We start from the raw sequence: 17951 nt of genomic DNA on the forward strand, positions 1-17951 counted from the left end.
TTGGGGTTCTGAGAGGAGCAGGAGAAAAAAACAGAGAACTGCCGAGGGAAGGGGACTGATAAGTCCCCAAGCCAAGATGGGTGTTATGCCCAGGGTCAGGGCTGAGCTTCCTGGAGAAAGAACCAAAAGGACAGAAACCAACACAAAGTCTGTCCAGCTTTTGGGGGTGTAATGGGATTGGAAGCCCCAGTGTACCAGAGGGACACGGGAGCAGTGTGTGTGTGTGTGTGTGTGTGCATGCATGCACACTAATGGGGGAATTACATGATGTTGTGTCGTCCTGGGGGCACCCTCACTAGTCAGAAGTCTCAATAGCAGAGTGGCTTGCAGGTGAACAGAAGTCTCTGTGGCATGAGGTCAGCAACTAAAGTAGCTGTCTCCCATGGTGTTCTAGCAAATACTATCTTGGCATTCAAGATCCCACTCAAAAGCCCCTTCCTCTGTGAAGTCCTTCCTGATGCCTTCCCCACTCATCCATATTGCACCCTGCTTTAATGTGCTCCCACTGCATCCTGAGCAGGTCCATAACATTGCACCTGTCACGCTTCATTGCGTATGCGTATTGGCTTATCCTCTCTCTGTCTGCCTGTCTTTCTGTTCCATATACATCTGCCTCCCCCAGGGGCAGAGGCTGTGTCTTAATCACCTGTGTAGCCCCAGCACCTGGCACAGTGCCTGACACCCAGGAGATGCTCAATAAATGGCTGCTATATTAATACATGAGCAGCTTAAGGGGATGGAGGGCGAAGGTAAATGCTCTTGCGTACTCATCGCAGACCACAATGTGCCCAAATGTCTTCATGTGTGGTTTGCAGCTCCCCAGGCAACTGCTTACTTCCCTTACTTACTGATTTCACCAGGAATTACTTGTTTTGTTTCCTTAAGATCTGTGCATGGCACAGCCCCTCCCACAAGGGTAAGGCCATATGGGTTGAATCTTGGGGGGTGTTGGGTACATTGTGGCACCGGGAAGAAGCCTTGGGAGTCAGTCCTTCAGCAGATGCCCTCATGTGACCAGGATATGAGGTTGGGTGTCCTTAAGCAATTATGTCCATTTCCTGTGTCTCCTTATAAAATGGTGGCTAGGGAACTGGACATCATTCTCAAAGCTATGACGTTCAGCAAGGTATGTGATGGCTTTTAAGGAGCACGGGAAGATCACATCCTGCTGTATTCCGGGTTAGTTTGAGTGAGTACATGTGTGACAAGGACAGCCCAGTGTTCCTGTATATGTGACTGCAGATATCCTTAGCTAGTGTAACAATGTTGAAAGTGATGTGAGAAGGGGTATGTTTCCCAATGTGTATCCGCCGGGGGCTGTAACTGTCGTGGTGTCACAGTGAGTTTATGTACTGGCGCCTGTGTGTGTCAAGATATGTGTGAGCCTGTGAGTCGTGGGTGCATGTGTCGCCATCATTTCTCTGTTTGAATGTGTATGTGCATGCCACTGCAATGTGCGCATCTCTGCGATTCTGGGTGTGGGTGTAGTGTGAAGGGGAAGATGTGTGTCACTGTGTCTGTGGGGGTCCTGCCTCTAAGCCACCCCCAGCCTGCCCTCCTCCCCCGGTTCTGTGGCTCCCTCCCAGGCTGTGGCCCTGCCCCTTCCCTCTTCTCCCTCCCAATCCATCCACGCGGGGGGAGCTGGTGCTGCGCCCCCCCCCACCCCTCCCCATCCAGGCCCCATAAATAGCAGCAGAGCCGGAGCTGGAGCCGGCGCCAGCGGCTGGAGCAGCAAGGGAGTCAGGGCCAGGGCCAGAGAGCCGGAGAGAGGAGCCCCCGACCGAGAGCCCAGGTGAGCCCACCCTTCCTCCCCAGCCCAGCCCCAGCCCAGCCCAGCTTGGCCCAGTCTCCATAACAACATCTCCTGGAGCCCGCAGAGAGATCCCAGCCCTGCCCAATCCCTTCACCACCACAAGCCCCTGCCTATCTCGGGGACCCCCAAGAACTGGGAGACTTGTGGCTGGAAGGCAGAGACCCCCCTCCCCCAGCCCAGACCCTCCCTCACATATCCAGAAAGGCACACACTGTGGGGAGGTAGATACCCAGCCAGAGAAAGGTCCCACTTCTGAGGGAGGTACAGGAACTGTCACACCCTCCTGGAAACGGACACACGACATGGGGGGACAGACACGGAGGGTGGGGCACTCAGACACACCAATGCACACTCACTCGGGGAAGCATGACATGGGATCAGACAGCCTCACCCTGAGATCTGTACAGACACAGATAGATGGACTGACCGGCCATGAACTCTGGCCGGCATACCCCTGCCTGCTTCAGCCCGAGGCTTGGTACCACTGCTGGGGGAAGGTGGCATGCGTGCATCCCACGGGCAGCATGGAGGGAGCCACGACTCCCCAAAAATCCTGTCGCTAAGAGACGGTGCCAGTGCTGCCAAGAAGTGTGAAAACAGGGGAGGTGGGGAGGGATGTGAGGCTTGTCACAGTTAGAGCTCCTGCCAGGAGCCTGAAGGAGCTTTCAGCAGAGCCCTGGTCCTGCCTCCCAGCCCACCACCACTCCTTTTCCATCAGCTAGCCAGAAGGGGAATGGGGGTAGGGAGTGGATAGGGATAGCCCAGCAGGGGACTTTCCAACCTGTCTCCTGCCCACTGCAGACTCCACTTCTGAGACCCATCCTCTTCAGAACTCCAGAGGCCTCTCCACCCCCTGCCCCACCCCCTTGCCCTAGTTTAGCTCCCTCGTGCCAAGACTGAGTGCAGCGCTGGCACAACACCAGTCGGGAAATAGCAGAAGGTGCTGAGGCGGCAGAAAGTGTAGATCAATCGATGGCCTAGGAGCCAAGACTGCCAGGAACATCCCCACCCCAATCCTTCAGCCCTCTCCAGCCCCATCCACGCATACCTAGGCCAGCAGCACAGGGCTTCTGAGCAGGAGTGGGAGGCTCAGGTCCTCTGCCCTCCCCTGCTCAGAACTCTGGTGAAGCTGAGGAAGCAGGAGGTCCGTGAGGCCCCAGGGTCTAGGGAAGGAGGTTAAGGGGTGGGGCCCAGGGACCCTAGAGGATAGACCCCTCTGCTGGCAGGTGTTCCCTTTCCAGAGTCCAGGCCACCTGCTCTGTCCCCACAGTGACATGTCGGACCCTGAGATGGGATGGGTGCCTGAGCCCCCAACCATGACGCTGGGGGCCTCTCGGGTGGAGCTGCGGGTGTCCTGCCATGGCCTCCTGGACCGGGACACACTCACCAAACCCCACCCCTGCGTGCTGCTCAAGCTCTACTCTGATGAGCAGTGGGTGGAGGTGAGAGCAGCTCAGGTTTCTCCTTAACTAACCTGGGTTAAGCTTGGGAAAGAGGGAGGCTGGGTGGGAGCAGTGAAAGCCTTGCAGGGAAATGTGTGGACTCTGCGGCGCCTTCTCGAGGCCGCTTGGGTACCCTGGAGATGGTGTCCCAGAGGGTCCTGAGATTGACCCAGAGGCAGTGGGGTTGCTCCCAAAGGCCTCATGATAGCCCGGAGGACTGAGAGTCCAGTGGGCAGGCAGCACCCCAAGCTCAGGGATCAGCTTAGGAAGAGAAGAGCTGGTTGCTGGGGACGTGGGGGCCCAAGAAGAGCTGGCATGACTAGGGCAGTCCAGGACAGGGAAAAGTATCCTCGGTTCCCAGACAGCCCTCGCCTCCCTTCAACCACTACCACAGGTAGAGCGCACAGAGGTGCTTCGCTCCTGTTCCAGCCCTGTCTTCTCCCGGGTGCTGGCCCTTGAGTATTTTTTTGAGGAGAAGCAGCCCCTGCAGTTCCACGTGTTCGATGCCGAGGACGGAGCCACCAGCCCCCGAAATGATACCTTCCTCGGCTCTACGGAGTGCACCTTGGGCCAGGTCTGCATTCCCGGCCTCCCCGGCTACCCTACCCTACCTCCATCAGCTTTGCCTCTGGAAGCCAAAAAGAGAGAAAACATGAGCTCTAGAGCTAGTTCAACCCAGCCTTGGCTCCCATCTCTGCCATTCACTAGCTGTGCAGCCTCAGGAAAGATACTTAACCTCTCTGAGTCTTAGTTTTCCTATCTAAAAAATGGAGGAGTGGTCAGAGTGCTTCCCTCTTCAGACTATTGTAAAAATTGAGCCCAACCCTAGCCCAACTCAAAGTGCCAACCCTTGCAGACACTCAGAGCATTTATTATTCCATCCCTTGTACGTGGCCAAGGCAGATGGGGATGTCACAGCTGGGTCTCCCTCCACCTCCATCCCCAGATTGTGTCACAAACCAAGGTCACTAAGCCATTATTGCTGAAGAATGGGAAGACTGCGGGCAAGTCCACCATCACGGTAGGCAAGATCACCTGTACTCACCCTTGGTCCAGGTATTCAATGCCCCTGCATGGACACCTATGGTGACATCATGCCCAGGACCACCCCCACCTAAGGGAAAGGGGATGGGGTGGCCCTTGTGGTAAGGTTAGGGGAGTCCTGCCACTTGTATCCCCCTTGCAGATCGTGGCCGAGGAGGTATCAGGCACAAACGACTATGTGCAACTCACCTTCAGAGCCTACAAGCTGGACAACAAGGTTGGAACCCCAGAGTCCAGGCCCCCAACTCCCCTGTCACTCCTAGGCCTCCCACTCAAGACAGATCCCAGGAGCCCAGGCCTGCTCTCTTCCCAGTGGGAGCCCATCCCCCACCCTCCTTGCAGCTCTCACCAACCTCAAGGGCCCTTTCTCCTGTATCTTCAGGATCTGTTCAGCAAGTCTGACCCTTTCATGGAAATCTATAAGACCAACGAGGACCAAAGTGATCAGCTGGTCTGGAGAACTGAGGTTGGTGCCTGGGGCTATGGGGATGAAGGGAGGGAGAGTAAAGTAAGAAGACACAGACAGGAGCTGACCAGCCACCTGGTGCCTCTCCAAGGTGGTGAAGAACAACCTGAACCCCAGCTGGGAGCCGTTCCGCCTGTCCCTGCATTCCCTATGCAGCTGTGATGTTCACCGACCTCTCAAGGTGAAGTCCCAGCCAAGCCAGCACAGCCTACTTAGAGCAACCAATCTGCTATCTAAGACCTTTCCCCTGCATGTGGCAAGCCTCCCTCCTCTCCCCCAAGTGATAATCACATCCCACTGTGGGATAAATAATAGGTCACAGCTCAATGTTAAACTTCCCACATGTGTGCATTTTATCAGTGGCCAAAGTCCCTAGCAGACTGAGCCAAAGAACAAAGTTCAGCAGGTGGCCTCTCCGGGCAGGCTGAGGATGTCTGTTTGGGCATGGAGACTCTAAGGCCCAAGTCCCCCTACTCCAAGTCCCCGAGTCCCCCTACTCACCGTGAATACCGCAGAGCATCTCCAACCTGACCCCACCCCTCCCCCTGCCTTCTCAGTTCCTGGTGTATGACTATGACTCCAGTGGGAAGCATGACTTCATCGGCGAGTTCACCAGCACTTTCCAGGAGATGCAGGAAGGGACGGCAAACCCTGGGCAGGAGGTGCCACAAATACCCCACCCCCAGAATCCCACCCAGATCCCTGGGAGAATCCTGAGGGTGATGCTGAAGAGACCACCATAGGTGATAGGAAGTGGAGAGGGTGGAAAGCACCTGGGCTCAGCTGAAGGACGGAACCATGGGGGTCTTGCTCTGGGAGGCTCTGCTGGAAGGGAGAAAGAGGGGTCACCTGATGGACTTGTGACCCTGAGCTTGTGGGGTGGGGTCTAGATGCAGTGGGACTGTATCAACCCCAAGTATCGGGACAAGAAGAAGAATTACAAGAGCTCAGGGACGGTAGTGCTGGCCCAGTGCACGGTAAATTTCACTTCCTGCTTCAAGCCTTGCCCCAGCCCCTGCCCCTACCACACTCTCAGGTTCAACCCTTCCCTTGTTTCAAAGACCAGTTTCTCTGCTTCTGGGAACTGGAAACCACCCCCAACTGCAACCCAAAAAACTCTGGCTCCCCCATGTTCCCCACAGAAGCCCTACCCAAGCTCCCTCCTCAAAGGACCACCCCATCCCCTCGCCTTACCCCTCTCCCTACCTCCAGGTGGAGAAGGTGCACACCTTCCTGGATTACATCATGGGTGGCTGCCAGATCAGCTTCACGGTAAAGACTCAGAGGGAGGGCACACAGGCAAGAGGGAGGGGCTGAGTCCATAGTGAAAGGAAGGAGCCCAGAATCTCCACTGCCCCAACTTGGGCTGCTCATGAGCCTTCGCATTGTCAGCTTATGCACCCCCACATCATTATGTGGCTACCTGTAGCCTCCCCACCACTCATCTTAGTCCTCCCTACAGATCCCAGCTCTGGCCTAGGCAATCTGGTGGCTCTCATGGTTGCAGCATGACCTTCTTCCCACCCCCACCCAGGTGGCCATTGACTTCACCGCCTCCAATGGGGACCCGAGGAGCAGCCAGTCCCTGCACTGCCTCAGTCCCCGACAGCCCAACCACTACCTGCAGGCCCTGCGTGCAGTGGGAGGCATCTGCCAGGACTATGACAGGTAGGAGAGAGTGGGGCGGGAGGGAACAGGCAGGGAGGCCTTGCCCAACGGATTCCACAGCTTTTTCTTCTCCCCAGTGATAAGCGGTTCCCAGCTTTTGGCTTTGGGGCTCGAATCCCCCCCAACTTCGAGGTAGGCTAGATGCGAGGGAAAGAAGGAGATGGGGGGCGTGTCAGTCAGGCAGAAAAGGCAGGCCCTCACTGCTCCCGCCTTGCCCTCACAGGTGTCCCATGACTTTGCTATCAACTTTGACCCGGAAAATCCTGAATGTGAAGGTAAAAGGGGAGATTTTCACCTGCCCCGCCTCCCCGCAGACACACTCCACACAGGAGCACAGACTCCACTCCCCAGGGCCCAGCTTCCTGTCCCTTCCACCCATCCCAGGCCTGTCTTTATCAGGTGAGGCTTCCAGGGCCGAGGCCCAGCATCTGCACCCAACTCTCCCTGCCAAGGGACCATCCAACTCTCCCACTGCTTAATGAAGGAACTCGAGGGGAGGGCAGTCCTCAGACCTGGAAGCATTTCCTTGCTTTAAGGAGTGTCAGGAGGGGGCCCTGCTCATTTCTGCCAGCTTCACAACTTCTCTTCACTCACAGAGATCTCAGGGGTCATCGCCTCCTACCGTCGTTGCCTGCCCCAGATCCAGCTCTACGGCCCCACCAATGTGGCCCCCATCATCAACCGTGTGGCTGAGCCGGCCCAGCGGGAGCAGAGCACCGGCCAAGCCACGGTAGGAAGACATGGCGGGCAAACAGGAGCTGTCCCATGTGTCTTTAAGTGGTGCCAGGGCCAGGGTCTGCACCTTGGTGGAAACGGTGTCAACGCCCTTGCACACAAAGCCAACCCTTCCACCCTCTCTGCTTGCCCTCAGAAGTACTCGGTGCTGCTGGTGCTCACTGACGGTGTGGTGAGCGACATGGCTGAGACTCGCACTGCTATCGTGCGTGCCTCCCGCCTGCCCATGTCCATCATCATCGTAGGCGTGGGCAATGCTGACTTCTCTGACATGCGGCTGCTGGATGGCGACGACGGCCCCTTGCGCTGCCCCCGAGGGGTGCCTGCAGCCCGAGACATTGTCCAGTTCGTGCCCTTCCGAGACTTCAAGGATGTGAGTCCCCCGGGCCCCTTCCGGCTGAAGGACTCCTCAGCTTCTCATCCCCCCAAATCTGACCTTCGTCTTCCACCATTTGATGTCCTGCTAAGGACGCGGGAGCCCAGCTGGCCACCCTGAAGCCCCACTTCTCCCTCAGATGACCCTGCCTCCCCTACTCTTCCTCTCACCCCTAACCACATCACTGTCCCCACCCTAGGCTGCCCCCTCTGCACTCGCCAAGTGTGTCCTGGCTGAGGTGCCACGGCAGGTGGTGGAGTACTACGCCAGCCAGGGCATCAGCCCTGGGGCTCCCAGGCCCTGCACACTGGCTACGACTCCCAGCCCTAGCCCGTGACTGCCTCCCTCCGGACCGACACTCCCTCAGCCTCTCAGTGAGTCCTGGGGCTTCCAAAGGAGTGGACACAGGGGGTGCAAAGTGGGGCTTGGTAGAGCCCAACTAGGCTGGGTGTAGTGTAGAAGAGAGTGCTTATGACTCTCCCACCCCCTCCCAGGTGCCTGTCCTGACCCTCGTGACTCCAGTGACCAATGCCTCCACCTCTTGGACCAGGTGTGCCCCCTGGGTTCTGGACGTGAGTGGTGGGTCCTGCTCCTATCTCTCCAAACCCCATACCCTTCAATGCTGTGGCCCCTCAGTGACTTCCTTGGGTGATCCTGACTTTCTAGCCATTAATAAAGAGAACTGCTCCTAGCACCTCAGCCTCTAACCATCATGCCTCAGATGCCCACTGGGCAGCCTGCAGCACCCCCACACACACCATAAGAAATGAGGACCAGCACCTTTCAAAATCTGAGACAGAGCTCCCCAGGCAGGCTGCTGTCTCTGCAGTCTTACCCCAGCTATGTGCCAGTGGGATCTGAGGAGCCCCCTCCCTCACCTCCCAACCCCAGGGGGTCTAGGCACCATGGAGAATAATTACAGGAGATAGGAGGATAATTACGGGCTGTCAGGAGGGCAGGCTGAAGCTTTCTTATAGCTGTCTCCAGAGAGGCCCTGCTGAGTCCCCCAGGAGCTGAACCCCAGCCCCCACACAGCTGTGGGGCGGGCCAAGAGCAGGTGCTGGGGGATACTGAAGGAGGGCAGCAGGTCTGCTAGTGAATTGGGAACATAGTGGAGCATCTAAGGCCTATACAGTCTGGTTTCCCGGGTGTGTCAATGTGTGTGTCTGTTCATGGCCTTAATGGGTCACACTCATGGACTCAGGGATGTGCAGTGCATGAACACACAGATTCACACACTTAACAATCACATCAGCAACAACAGCAAATATCATTACGTAGCATGTGTCAACTTTATGCTAAGTGCTTATTTAAATGCATTTATTCTCAGTAGGTGGTTACCATTATTTTCACCATTTTTCTGACAATCAAGTGAGGCTTGATTTTAACCCACCCATGGTCAAAAAACTGGTAGAACTGCAACTTGAAACAGGGTCTCACTCTGCCACCCAGGCTGGAATGCAGTGGCACGATTATGGCTCACTGCATCCCCGAACTCCTGGGCTCAAGTTATCCTTCCACCTTAGCCTCCTGGGTAGGTGGGACTCCAGGTGCATGCCATTACATCTGAATTTATTTTATTTTATTTTTTTGTAGTGACAGGGTTCTCGCTATGTTGCCCAGGCTGGTCTCAAACTTCCTCCTTGGCCTCCCAAAGTGTTGGGATTACAGGCAGGAACCACTGCGCCCCACCTAAAGCACTACTCTTAATCACCACAGTGTGCAACTTTGTTTTTTTAAGTATACTCAGGTAACCCAGGAGTATCATTTTGAGACCCAGGTATGGTACTGTATATGTGGCCTAGTTGTGTGCTCAGGTGTCTATGGATGGTTCTGTCTGTCTTTGTGTGCCATGCAGGTGAGAAAAGTGAACAAGAAAAGTAGTGGGTCTGAATTACAGCTCCAGGGCAGGCAAGGATAGACACAGGTGAAATTTAGAGTGAGAGAAAAAGAGCTGGGCTCCCGGAAGGACCCTCCCTGCCCCATCCTCTCCCTTCAACAATGAGTGTGGAAGGGGATGAAGAAAGAGAAGCTAAAGGTTCTGTGAGCCCCTCAGAGAGAGAATCCAGAGCCAGAGAGGATGGCCAGTGGCCAATGGTGGGGAAGGGAGAGGAGACGAGAGAAATTCTGAGAGCGATGGAGGAGAGGACTCCCATTGCAGGCTCCTAAGCGGAGGAGGGATGAGCTGGGATAGAGGAGGGGAAAGAGGGAGCAAGAACTGTGATGGGAAGAGAAGAGACAGCTGGGGAGGGGGTGGAGAGAGGGGGTAGAAAGGAAGAGGGACATATGGGAGCCTCTTCCCCCATGCCCGAAAGCTTCTCCCATTTATTATGTCCGGTAGAGGACAGATGACAGTAACTCGTGAGGCGGCTGCTCCCAGCACAACGCCTGTGCTCTGCCCAGAGGCCCCATCTGCCCTCCCCTTAGCCTGCTGAACTGGAGGACTGGGTTACCATGGAAACTGTGAGACCTGGATAGCCACTGACAGGCCGAGCTGGGCCACTGAGGCTTCTGAGTTTGGTGGTGGTGGTGGTGAGAGGGGGAGGATCCATCTGTTCCAATGCCTGCCCCTCCACCCCATTTCCATTGGCTCTCCATAACAGATGTGCCACCCAGCTCCAGGTGGGGACTTCCCTTTTTCTTGCTCTCTCTCTCTCTCCCTCTCTCTCCCTCTCCCACACACAGACACACAAACAGTAGCCTGAAGCAGGGATAAAGAATGAACACTTCTTAAATTGCAAGAACATTTAGCTTATTGCATTAGAATTCTGCCTGGACTTCAAGTTTAATTCACAAAAGCTGCACTCTCTCAGCAAATTGTCATCCCAGGAGAAGTCTCACCTCAGCCCTCAGAGAGGTGGGAGGTGGCAGGAGCACCCTGTGCAGGTCTGGAGGCCCAGACAGCCTGGAGGGAGCTGCCGAGGACCCACGTATGTGCTCACAGAGAAGCCAGGCTTCCTCGCCTGGGCTGTGCATCCCCTGCCTAGGCTGCAGCTGGGAAACTGCAGCAGGATAGGAGGTGCCTTTGGCGAGATTGTCTTGGGGACTTCTTGGGGAGACCACCGGGACTTCCATACTGGGGAGATGCCAGAACTGGAAAGGGAGCAGAAGTCGTCCAATCCACATGAGAATTAGATGAAGTAACACAAGTCCAGGAAGCAACTGATTTGCTCAGGGTGACAGGGGGATCCCATGGAAGAGCTGGGACTAGGACCCAGGTTTCCAGACTTCTGCACACAGCTCTCTCCCAACCCACACCAACAACCCCCAGAGCTCACTCTTCAGGCCTTTGCTGCTCTGAGCCCTGAAGGCCACAGGGTTGGGCAGGGAAAAAGCATCTCGGATAGAGGTCCTAATCTATCTAGTTGTTGGATATTGAAATCTTGAAAATTCTGTAGTGCTAAAATGGGGAGGTTACAAGCTTCAGAATGAAAATACAGCCTCATTGCTAATTACAGCTTTAATGTGTTACAGGTTGAAAACCCTGAATTAAAAACTAAACTGAGGTGGGAGCTGCAACCCTCCTCCACCTCCCATTCACTGTGTCACCACACTTCCACCCCCCAGTGCCTGGCACTGGTCCCTGCAGAGCTCAGCGTGCTAGTCATGTGGGCTGGGTTTCTGTGTTCGTAAGGGGAGGGGACCCCTCTCCAGAAAATGACCAGCATCTAAATTCGGGCATGACTTGAGGACCCAAAAGCTTTGGGGATATTTGCGCGGTCATACAGGGCGTGGCTAGGACCAGAAGGCGCTCTGGTAACGATGCAGAGAACCGTGCAGCCGCCTCCTGGGCGGAGCCACCCCACCCAGCCCCCACTACACCACAAGGTGCTCTGAACGGCTCAGAGGAAGAGGTGGGAGGGGTCCCCGGACCCGGGGCCGCTCGAGGTTAGCCGGTCACAGCGAGCCTTGTAGAGATCGCGCTCCCGGGCCAGGCGGGCCACCTCGGCCCGCAGCGCGTCCAGCTGGGCGGCCAGGCGGGCGCGCTCGGCCTCCAGCCCGCGCCGCTGCTGCAGCCGCTTGGAGCGACAGGCCTGCGCGTAGCCGCGGTTCTTCAGCGTGCGGCGCCTCTGCTTCAGCCGCAGCGCCTCGTCGCGCCCGCAGCCCCGCAGCTGCCGGTTTAGCTCCCGCACAGACATCGAGACCAGCGCCGCGTCGGAAAACCGCTCTGCCAGCTGCGGAGGGAGAATGCAGAAACCGGGTCAGCGCCAGGTCGCACCCGGCTCTGCCCTGAGGGCCCGACGCTACCTGGCTCCGCCCCGGGACAGCCCCGCCCCGGCTCCCACCTTCACCGGAAGGCTCGCCCTTCCACGCAGTCTGTTTCGGTCCAGAGCCCGCCCCAGGCCCCGACGCTCCCCGGGCCCCCCAGCTGACCGTTGCTCCAGTCAGGCGGGCGCCCCACGGTGCAGGGCCGGCCACGGTCAGGCGAGCCCGTCGCGCACCTAAACCCCGGGCTCGTCTCTGGGATCCCCGGCATCCAGCTCCAGGCCCGGGTGTGTCCAGTGGACCCGCACCCAGACAGCCCCCAACCCTCCAACGCGCTGCGTTTCCCTGTCCTGAAGCCTGCAACCCGGTGACCCTCACAGGATTTGGATTACATCCTAATGCCCGCAACACCCCCATCTGTGTCTGTAATTAATAGGATGAGTCCCAATCCTTCCTGAGAAGGTTGGGGGCTGGGAAGCACGAAGTCTTGAAAAGGCCAATCTAAACCAGTCTTAACCCAGCTCCACTCCACACATAACCCTTTCCCTGGTTTCCACACACCATGTATCTGTTTACCCCCCGGAGTCGCCCACTCCCCAGCTCAATTCTTCCCTTTGGATTCTCTGCTAATCTTATCTTCTCCCTGCTCCTCCTGGTTCAGCCTACTCATTTCTCTCCATTTTAAGAAAAGGGGGAGAAGCAGAATGTAGTTTTCTCGATCTGATTGCTTTCAAGGGACCTTCTCCCCTTCTCCTGCCCTCTGTCCCCTGTCCCAGTCCATAACCCCCTCTGGGAGCTCCCCTTCCTCTCTTGGGCAGTCCTCCTTCCTTGCCCTGCCTCCCCTCAGGCCAGCTTGCTGACCACTCACCTGGACGTGCTGGGCTCCTGTCTCCTCTGGGCTCCCTGGGTAGTAGCCATGGGGCCCATCAACAGGGACTGGGCCCTGACCCTGCAGCAGCTCCATGGCCTCTTCAGGACTCAGCCCCAATGCCTCCCCAGCCCCCAGCTGCTGCTGCAGGGTAGCCAGCCAGTACAGCTCCTCCAGGCCTGGCCGGGTGCCCTCGGTTGCCCCCACCATGCCTGGTTCACTGAAGGTGGGTGAAGGAGGCACTGAGCTGTAAGGTGTGGAGCCCAGTGAGGCTGTAGGGGGGCCAGGTCGGCCCTCAGAGGGTTCCCGCTTTACCTCAAACTTCATCAAGTCAAAGTCATTGACATATTCCATGGCCAGGGGGCTGGGGGGCAGGGCCATTCTGGAGCTGGGCTGGGAGGAGTGCACCTGCAAAGAGGAGGAGAGGTCTGGAGCACATGGAGGCCACCTGCCATCCCCTCTTCACCAAGTCCCTCTTCCCTCAAAGCCCAAGTGCCCTGGAGCAAGAGTTTGGGAAAGCCAGAGGGATGGTGCAGCTCTGTTCACTGCAGAGTCCCCACCAGGCTGAAGAGTAACCTTTCAGAGGGCAGGGGCTCCTGACAGGGGACAAGCAGCTGAATTCCTGAAGGAGGAAGAGGACAGCACAGCCTCTCGCCCCACTGATGCCTCAGGATCTATGAAAAGCAAGAGCAGTATGGCAGTGCTCCCAACCCTAGTGCTGAGACATGCCGAGAGGTCTGTCATCTCAAGAGGCATCATTCCATTTCCAAGCCATTTTTTTAAATTGCTTAATTAACTGTGACAAAGTGAGTGTATATTTTAGGACAGTGGGAAGGCATGTATGCTGTGAATTTTAAGAGCCAAGGATAATGTGTTCTTATAGCTCTCTGTCTCTCAAAGCACTCAGGGAAGTGCCTTGCCTATAGAAGACCCTCAGTGTACATTTGTTCTATGGATTAATCAATCAATGAATCCCTTTTGTAGGGGCAAGAGGCTTTATATGGAAAAAAGAAAGGTCCTAGAATTAGTTCTAGAAAGATCAGAATCAACTGGCCACCATCTTTCCTCAAGGCCAGTCTCTCCAAGGGGAACAGACCAAGATTGATTTTCCTTCTATTCAGAACTTGTTACGTTGTGTGAACTTGGCAGATCACCTTCACCCTTCTGACCCGTTTTCCCTTCTGTTCAATGAGGGCAGTTAGACTTTGTAACATATACCAAAGAGTGTTCTCTAGAACACTGATTCTGAACAATACCTATGAAGAGGTCTGTGCTCAGATAACTTTGAGAAATGTTGCCTCCTATCCCTACCTCTTACAGATGCACATAGCACAAGAGCATATTAACCTGAGCAATCCTTTAGTAAACCGTCTGTTCAAGTTCAACAAAAAGTGTCCTAAACTTATGTCACCAAGGAACTCTCCTGTCTGTTATCAATCATGGGGCACATGTTCACCTGAGGAACTTCTGGCTGGGTGACCTCAGATACCCTTCCCAGCCTTGAAGTCCAAGCTCTAGTCCAGCTCCCAATTCCAGTAACTCCCACCCCACCCCCAGAAGGTGCGCGGCATGGAGTGTTCATCCCCAGGGCTTAGACTTCGGCTCCTTCTAGATGCCCCAAGCCTAGGTAGCCTTCTTTCCAACCACATGTCAGACCCCCAGGCTCTACCCAGAGAGGCAAAGAGGAAGACCCAGGCCTCTCTCTTCCTGTTCCAGGGCAGGGTTGCTGCCCTCTCTATGGAACCTGTCACCCTTGAGAGGACAGAGGGGATGGAAACAGACACAGATTAAAGGAACTGGGTCTTGGCAGAAAGGAGATGGTGAGACACTGAGAGAGGTATCCAGAAAGAACTGGATGTACAGAAGGAGTAGTGGGGAAGGTTGTTTATCTTTCTGACGTGATAGCAGTGAGGGACACAGGCCAGTCAGGGTGGGAGTGGAGTAGGGTACCAAGGTGTTAGGATTCTTGAAAACAGACAACAGAGAGCAGGTGTTAAAGAGGGGGTTCTAGGTGAGCGGCCTGACACCCAGGTAGGCCCTGGATATACTCACTTCAGAAATGGCCGAGAGGATGTGGTCAGTGCCAGAGCCAGACAGGCACAGCTTCCCAGGAGACTGAAGGCTCCATGGAGCAGGGCCTGGTGCCTCTGCTCAGCTCCAGGGGGCTGTGGGCACAGAGCCCAAAGGGCATTCTTAAAGGGCCAGCTCTCTGAGGTCATCTGTGGTCCTGAGGCCTCCAACCAATAAGGTAAGGAGATCATTTGCATATCTTATTGGCCTGGGGTTGGGGGAAATGGAGAGAGAGGAGAGTACAAGTGTGCTTATTCTCAAAGAAGGAAAGGGAGCATCTTCCCCAACAAAGCTCCTCACTGATGATCCGACTCCCAAGTGCTCAGTTTCCCAGTTCGGACAGAAACATGGGTCTGAACCACCACCCCTCTATGTGAACACAACCCTCAGCCCTAGCCATGCATAGCCTGGGATTGGAAAAAGAGGACCAGACAAACTCCCAGCACCCCCACCTTCCAAGGCCCTGCAGCCCCTCATCTGTCTTTGGAGACTATAAGCTCTCCCACGCCCACTCTCACCGGGCCTTTTGGATCTGTTTCCTATTTTCAAGAATCCTCACATTTCTACCTCTGCCCCATCTTCATGCTGACTGGTCTTATGCCCCTCATAGCCGTCGCATCAGAAAGGAAAGCAACTTTTCCCACAGGGGATCTCCAGGACTTGACCACCATATTTTGTCTCTCCCATTCTTGCTAATCCAGCTTGGGAGAAAGAGTAGGAAAAAAGAGAACAGGGAACTCTGTTCCTTCCTTCTGGGCCTCAAGGGACATTGAAATCTAATCACCACCAGTCCGTCGGAGACACTTTTGTAACTGGCCTCATATGCCCTCTGCTTTCTCTCACCTTTTCCCTGTGTGTGTCTCTGCCCCTCTCTCCTCTCTCACTCATTCTAGTTCCCAGATGGCTGAGGGGTGACCTACATTTTCAGCCTAATCCCCTAACACCTCTTAGAGCTATCATCCCTGAGTAGGAGTGGGAACAGGGATACTAGGAATTATCCAAGGAGATGTTTAAACCTGTCCGAAGCTGTTTAAATAGGGTCTATGGAGTTAAAGGCCACTTCCTACCTTCTGAGGCCACCCAAATACTCCCATGGGGTTAATAGTTCCTCTTTCTCAACACAGAGGCCTGGGTGTCCATCAGACCCCAAAGGTCATCACTTATAAAACTTAACCTGGTCCCAGCCTTATATGTTGGGGAAAAGCTGGCAGATACAGATTATCTAAGAAGGTGGTTTCTGAAGTGTGGTCCCCAGAGCAGCAGCATCCATATCACCTGGGAACTTGCTAGAAATACATGTTACCTGATCTCACCTTAAATCTACTGAGTCAGAAACTCCGGGGGTGGGGCCCAGAAATCTGTGTTTTAAGGCCCTTCCAGCAAGTCTGACATGCTTGAAAGTTTAAAGGCCAGGCACGCCTGTAATCCCAGCATTTTGGGAGGCCAAGGTGGGCGGATCACTTGAGGTCAGGAGTTCAAGACCAGCCTGGCCAACATGGTGAAACCCCATCTCTACTAAAAATACAAAAATTAGCTGGGCATAGTGGCAGGCACCTGTAATGCCAGCTACTCCTACTGAGGCAGGAGAATCACTTGAACCTGGGAGGCGGAGGTTGCAGTGAGCCGAGATCGTGCCCCTGCACTCCAGCTTGGGCAACAGAGAGAGACTCCATCTCAAAAAAAAAAGAAGAGAAAAGAAAGAAAGTTTGAGAACTGCACAGAATGCCTGCAGTCTACCCAGCTTCCCTGGGGAGGCATGTATATATGTCTGTCTGTGCATGTGTATGTGGTCTCTCCTACCATGCTTTCCATACACATATTGGAAAACCTAGATCAGATGACATCACTCTCTTCCCACACCTGGGTTTCTGTTTTAAGGAGCAGAAACCATCGTCACCATTCAAGCTTCTCTGTGTGACTGCCTGGATCTACTGCTGTTTTCTCAAAAGAATAAAAAAGCCTAAGGCCTAGGAACCAACCACAAAATGGGAATGAGGATCATGGAGAGGCAGGACCCCACACACATGCCCATGGAATGTAGCTCTCCAAAGTGGACACCCAGGAAAGAGACTCTACAATTTCCCTGGTTGAAGAAGGAATGGGAAGTGTTGAGTGCAGCCCCTTTTTCATGCCTGCTCTGGCCTGGCCAGACACTTGCCCCCAACCAGCAGCTGTCAGGTCTGCACTGATCCTCTTGTTTACTGGAGGGCTCAAAGGAGAGGTGGGAGGGCTAAGCTGCTAACGGGCTAAGGGAGTCAGACTAAACAAGCTCAGGCGAGTTGAGCTGCTTGGGGCTCAGACCAGGCACCACTAAACCAGGGAAAGGAGCTGGGGGAGTGAGGGTTGGGCCCAGTCTGGGCCAGAGGAAAGGACCAAGGGCACAGAGAGGAGAGTCTGTGGCAGTCAGTGGGGACCCAGAAAGCAGAGCCCATCTCCCATATCCACTGGAGACTGAGAAATGAATACTGAGACTAATGGGCTCAAGGACATCTAGGGATGAAAAAGATGAAGCCAGTGTGACTCCAGGAATAATAGAACAGAGGAAGGAGACTAAGGAGGCAGTAGGTGTAGATGTGAGATAGAGGACAGGACAAGTCAGGGTCTCCATGGGGATTTGGATTAAAGGAGACAGAAAGATGTAGGCACATGGACGAGATGGATAAAGAAAGGAAGTCTTCCAGGAGAGGACCAAGAAGGGAGTAGGGGACAACAAGGACTAGAACAGTAAGAGTGGTAGAAGGAAGGGACAGGACATAAGATTGGGGACCAAGACCTAGACACCAATACAAAGAAATAGACACATAGGCCACAGAGGAAGAGCAGTGGCCAAAGGACAGAAAGGTAGCAAGATATGGATGGAGTGATATTGGACCATGGGGAAAGAGGGGCAGGCAGGCAAAGGGCCTGCAGGAGTGGGGTAGAAAATGAAGAGGAAGGAGAGAAAATGAGACAGTCAGCATTCCAGGATGCTACCTCCTCTCCTCTGTCCTGCACTCTCATTTTTGGAACCCTGAAAGACTGGTTCTCATTCCTACTTCTGGCTCATGGTATCTAGATCTTCAGTAATAGATCCAAATCCTCAACCTCTTCTTGGTGTACCTCCTACATTCTTTTGAAAAATGCATATTAAACACCTATTCTGCACCACATCCTGAGTAAGGCATTAGCGACCCCTCAGTAACTTACACTAATACCAGCCCTGACTTCAAGAAACTTACAGACTGATGAAACAGAGAAACATCAAATTATTGCCCTTTGGCTGG

The 17951-nt window shown here is 54.8% G+C and overlaps 2 protein-coding genes across 13 annotated transcripts in view, besides 8 other annotated features; one reads left to right on the forward strand and one right to left on the reverse strand.

Moving 5' to 3' along the window:
- Nucleotides 1–1099: 1099 nt before the first annotated feature.
- On the forward strand, nt 1100–8238 carry CPNE6 (copine 6). Of its 6 annotated transcripts, none has more exons than NM_001385056.1 (18): nt 1100–1189; nt 1587–1792; nt 3084–3255; nt 3650–3829; nt 4202–4276; nt 4442–4516; nt 4682–4765; nt 4857–4946; nt 5323–5427; nt 5656–5742; nt 5978–6037; nt 6300–6433; nt 6511–6565; nt 6657–6708; nt 7030–7163; nt 7305–7541; nt 7744–7918; nt 8039–8238. In NM_001385056.1, exons 3-17 carry the CDS (start codon nt 3088–3090, stop codon nt 7879–7881), a joined length of 1674 nt encoding a protein of 557 aa, NP_001371985.1. In that variant the 5' UTR covers nt 1100–1189; nt 1587–1792; nt 3084–3087; the 3' UTR covers nt 7882–7918; nt 8039–8238. The 6 variants fall into 6 exon arrangements, 5 of the variants coding, with proteins under 5 accessions (NP_001371985.1, NP_001371987.1, NP_001267487.1 ...); NM_001385058.1 differs by having other exon boundaries at nt 1678–1792; NM_001280558.2 differs by having other exon boundaries at nt 1100–1179; nt 1678–1792.
- Nucleotides 5457–5526: an enhancer, noted in NCBI's record as "active region_8184". NCBI's record gives its function as "activates an Ori minimal core promoter by ATAC-STARR-seq in GM12878 lymphoblastoid cells {active_cell/tissue: GM12878}" and the evidence as "EXISTENCE:reporter gene assay evidence [ECO:0000049][PMID:35858748]".
- Nucleotides 5867–7066: an enhancer, noted in NCBI's record as "CDK7 strongly-dependent group 2 enhancer chr14:24544925-24546124 (GRCh37/hg19 assembly coordinates)". NCBI's record gives its function as "activates an origin of replication core promoter dependent on BRD2, BRD4, P300/CBP, MED14 and CDK7 cofactors, with strong dependence on CDK7, by STARR-seq in HCT116 cells {active_cell/tissue: HCT116}" and the evidence as "EXISTENCE:reporter gene assay evidence [ECO:0000049][PMID:35650434]".
- Nucleotides 5867–7758: a biological region, named in NCBI's record as "CDK7 strongly-dependent group 2 enhancer GRCh37_chr14:24544925-24546124".
- Nucleotides 6845–7758: an enhancer, noted in NCBI's record as "H3K27ac-H3K4me1 hESC enhancer chr14:24545903-24546816 (GRCh37/hg19 assembly coordinates)". NCBI's record gives its function as "activates a minimal SCP1, AML or CMV promoter by ChIP-STARR-seq in primed H9 embryonic stem cells {active_cell/tissue: H9 hESC(primed)}" and the evidence as "EXISTENCE:reporter gene assay evidence [ECO:0000049][PMID:30033119]".
- Nucleotides 8813–17951, reverse strand: part of NRL (neural retina leucine zipper) — a 36288-nt gene continuing 27149 nt past the window's right edge. For 3 of the 7 annotated variants that reach the window (NM_001354768.3, XM_011536801.3, XM_011536805.3), the window contains exons 2-3: nt 12619–13026; nt 8813–11719 (exon numbers count right to left, since the gene is read on the reverse strand). In NM_001354768.3, coding sequence (NP_001341697.1) covers nt 11387–11719; nt 12619–12999 — 714 coding nt within the window. In that variant the 5' untranslated portion in view covers nt 13000–13026 and the 3' untranslated portion in view covers nt 8813–11386. Of the gene's footprint in view, nt 11720–12618; nt 13027–14670; nt 14897–17951 lie in introns of all 7 variants that reach the window. The other 4 variants (NM_006177.5, XM_011536806.3, NM_001354769.1 and 1 more) reach the window with 4 other exon arrangements.
- Nucleotides 10921–10970: an enhancer, noted in NCBI's record as "active region_8185". NCBI's record gives its function as "activates an Ori minimal core promoter by ATAC-STARR-seq in GM12878 lymphoblastoid cells {active_cell/tissue: GM12878}" and the evidence as "EXISTENCE:reporter gene assay evidence [ECO:0000049][PMID:35858748]".
- Nucleotides 11281–11600: a silencer, noted in NCBI's record as "silent region_5620". NCBI's record gives its function as "represses an Ori minimal core promoter by ATAC-STARR-seq in GM12878 lymphoblastoid cells {active_cell/tissue: GM12878}" and the evidence as "EXISTENCE:reporter gene assay evidence [ECO:0000049][PMID:35858748]".
- Nucleotides 11811–11980: a silencer, noted in NCBI's record as "silent region_5621". NCBI's record gives its function as "represses an Ori minimal core promoter by ATAC-STARR-seq in GM12878 lymphoblastoid cells {active_cell/tissue: GM12878}" and the evidence as "EXISTENCE:reporter gene assay evidence [ECO:0000049][PMID:35858748]".
- Nucleotides 12403–13317: an enhancer, noted in NCBI's record as "H3K4me1 hESC enhancer chr14:24551461-24552375 (GRCh37/hg19 assembly coordinates)". NCBI's record gives its function as "activates a minimal SCP1, AML or CMV promoter by ChIP-STARR-seq in primed H9 embryonic stem cells {active_cell/tissue: H9 hESC(primed)}" and the evidence as "EXISTENCE:reporter gene assay evidence [ECO:0000049][PMID:30033119]".

This window comes from Homo sapiens, chromosome 14 (assembly GCF_000001405.40).
Source record: "Homo sapiens chromosome 14, GRCh38.p14 Primary Assembly".
Classification (NCBI taxonomy): Eukaryota; Metazoa; Chordata; class Mammalia; order Primates; family Hominidae; genus Homo; species Homo sapiens.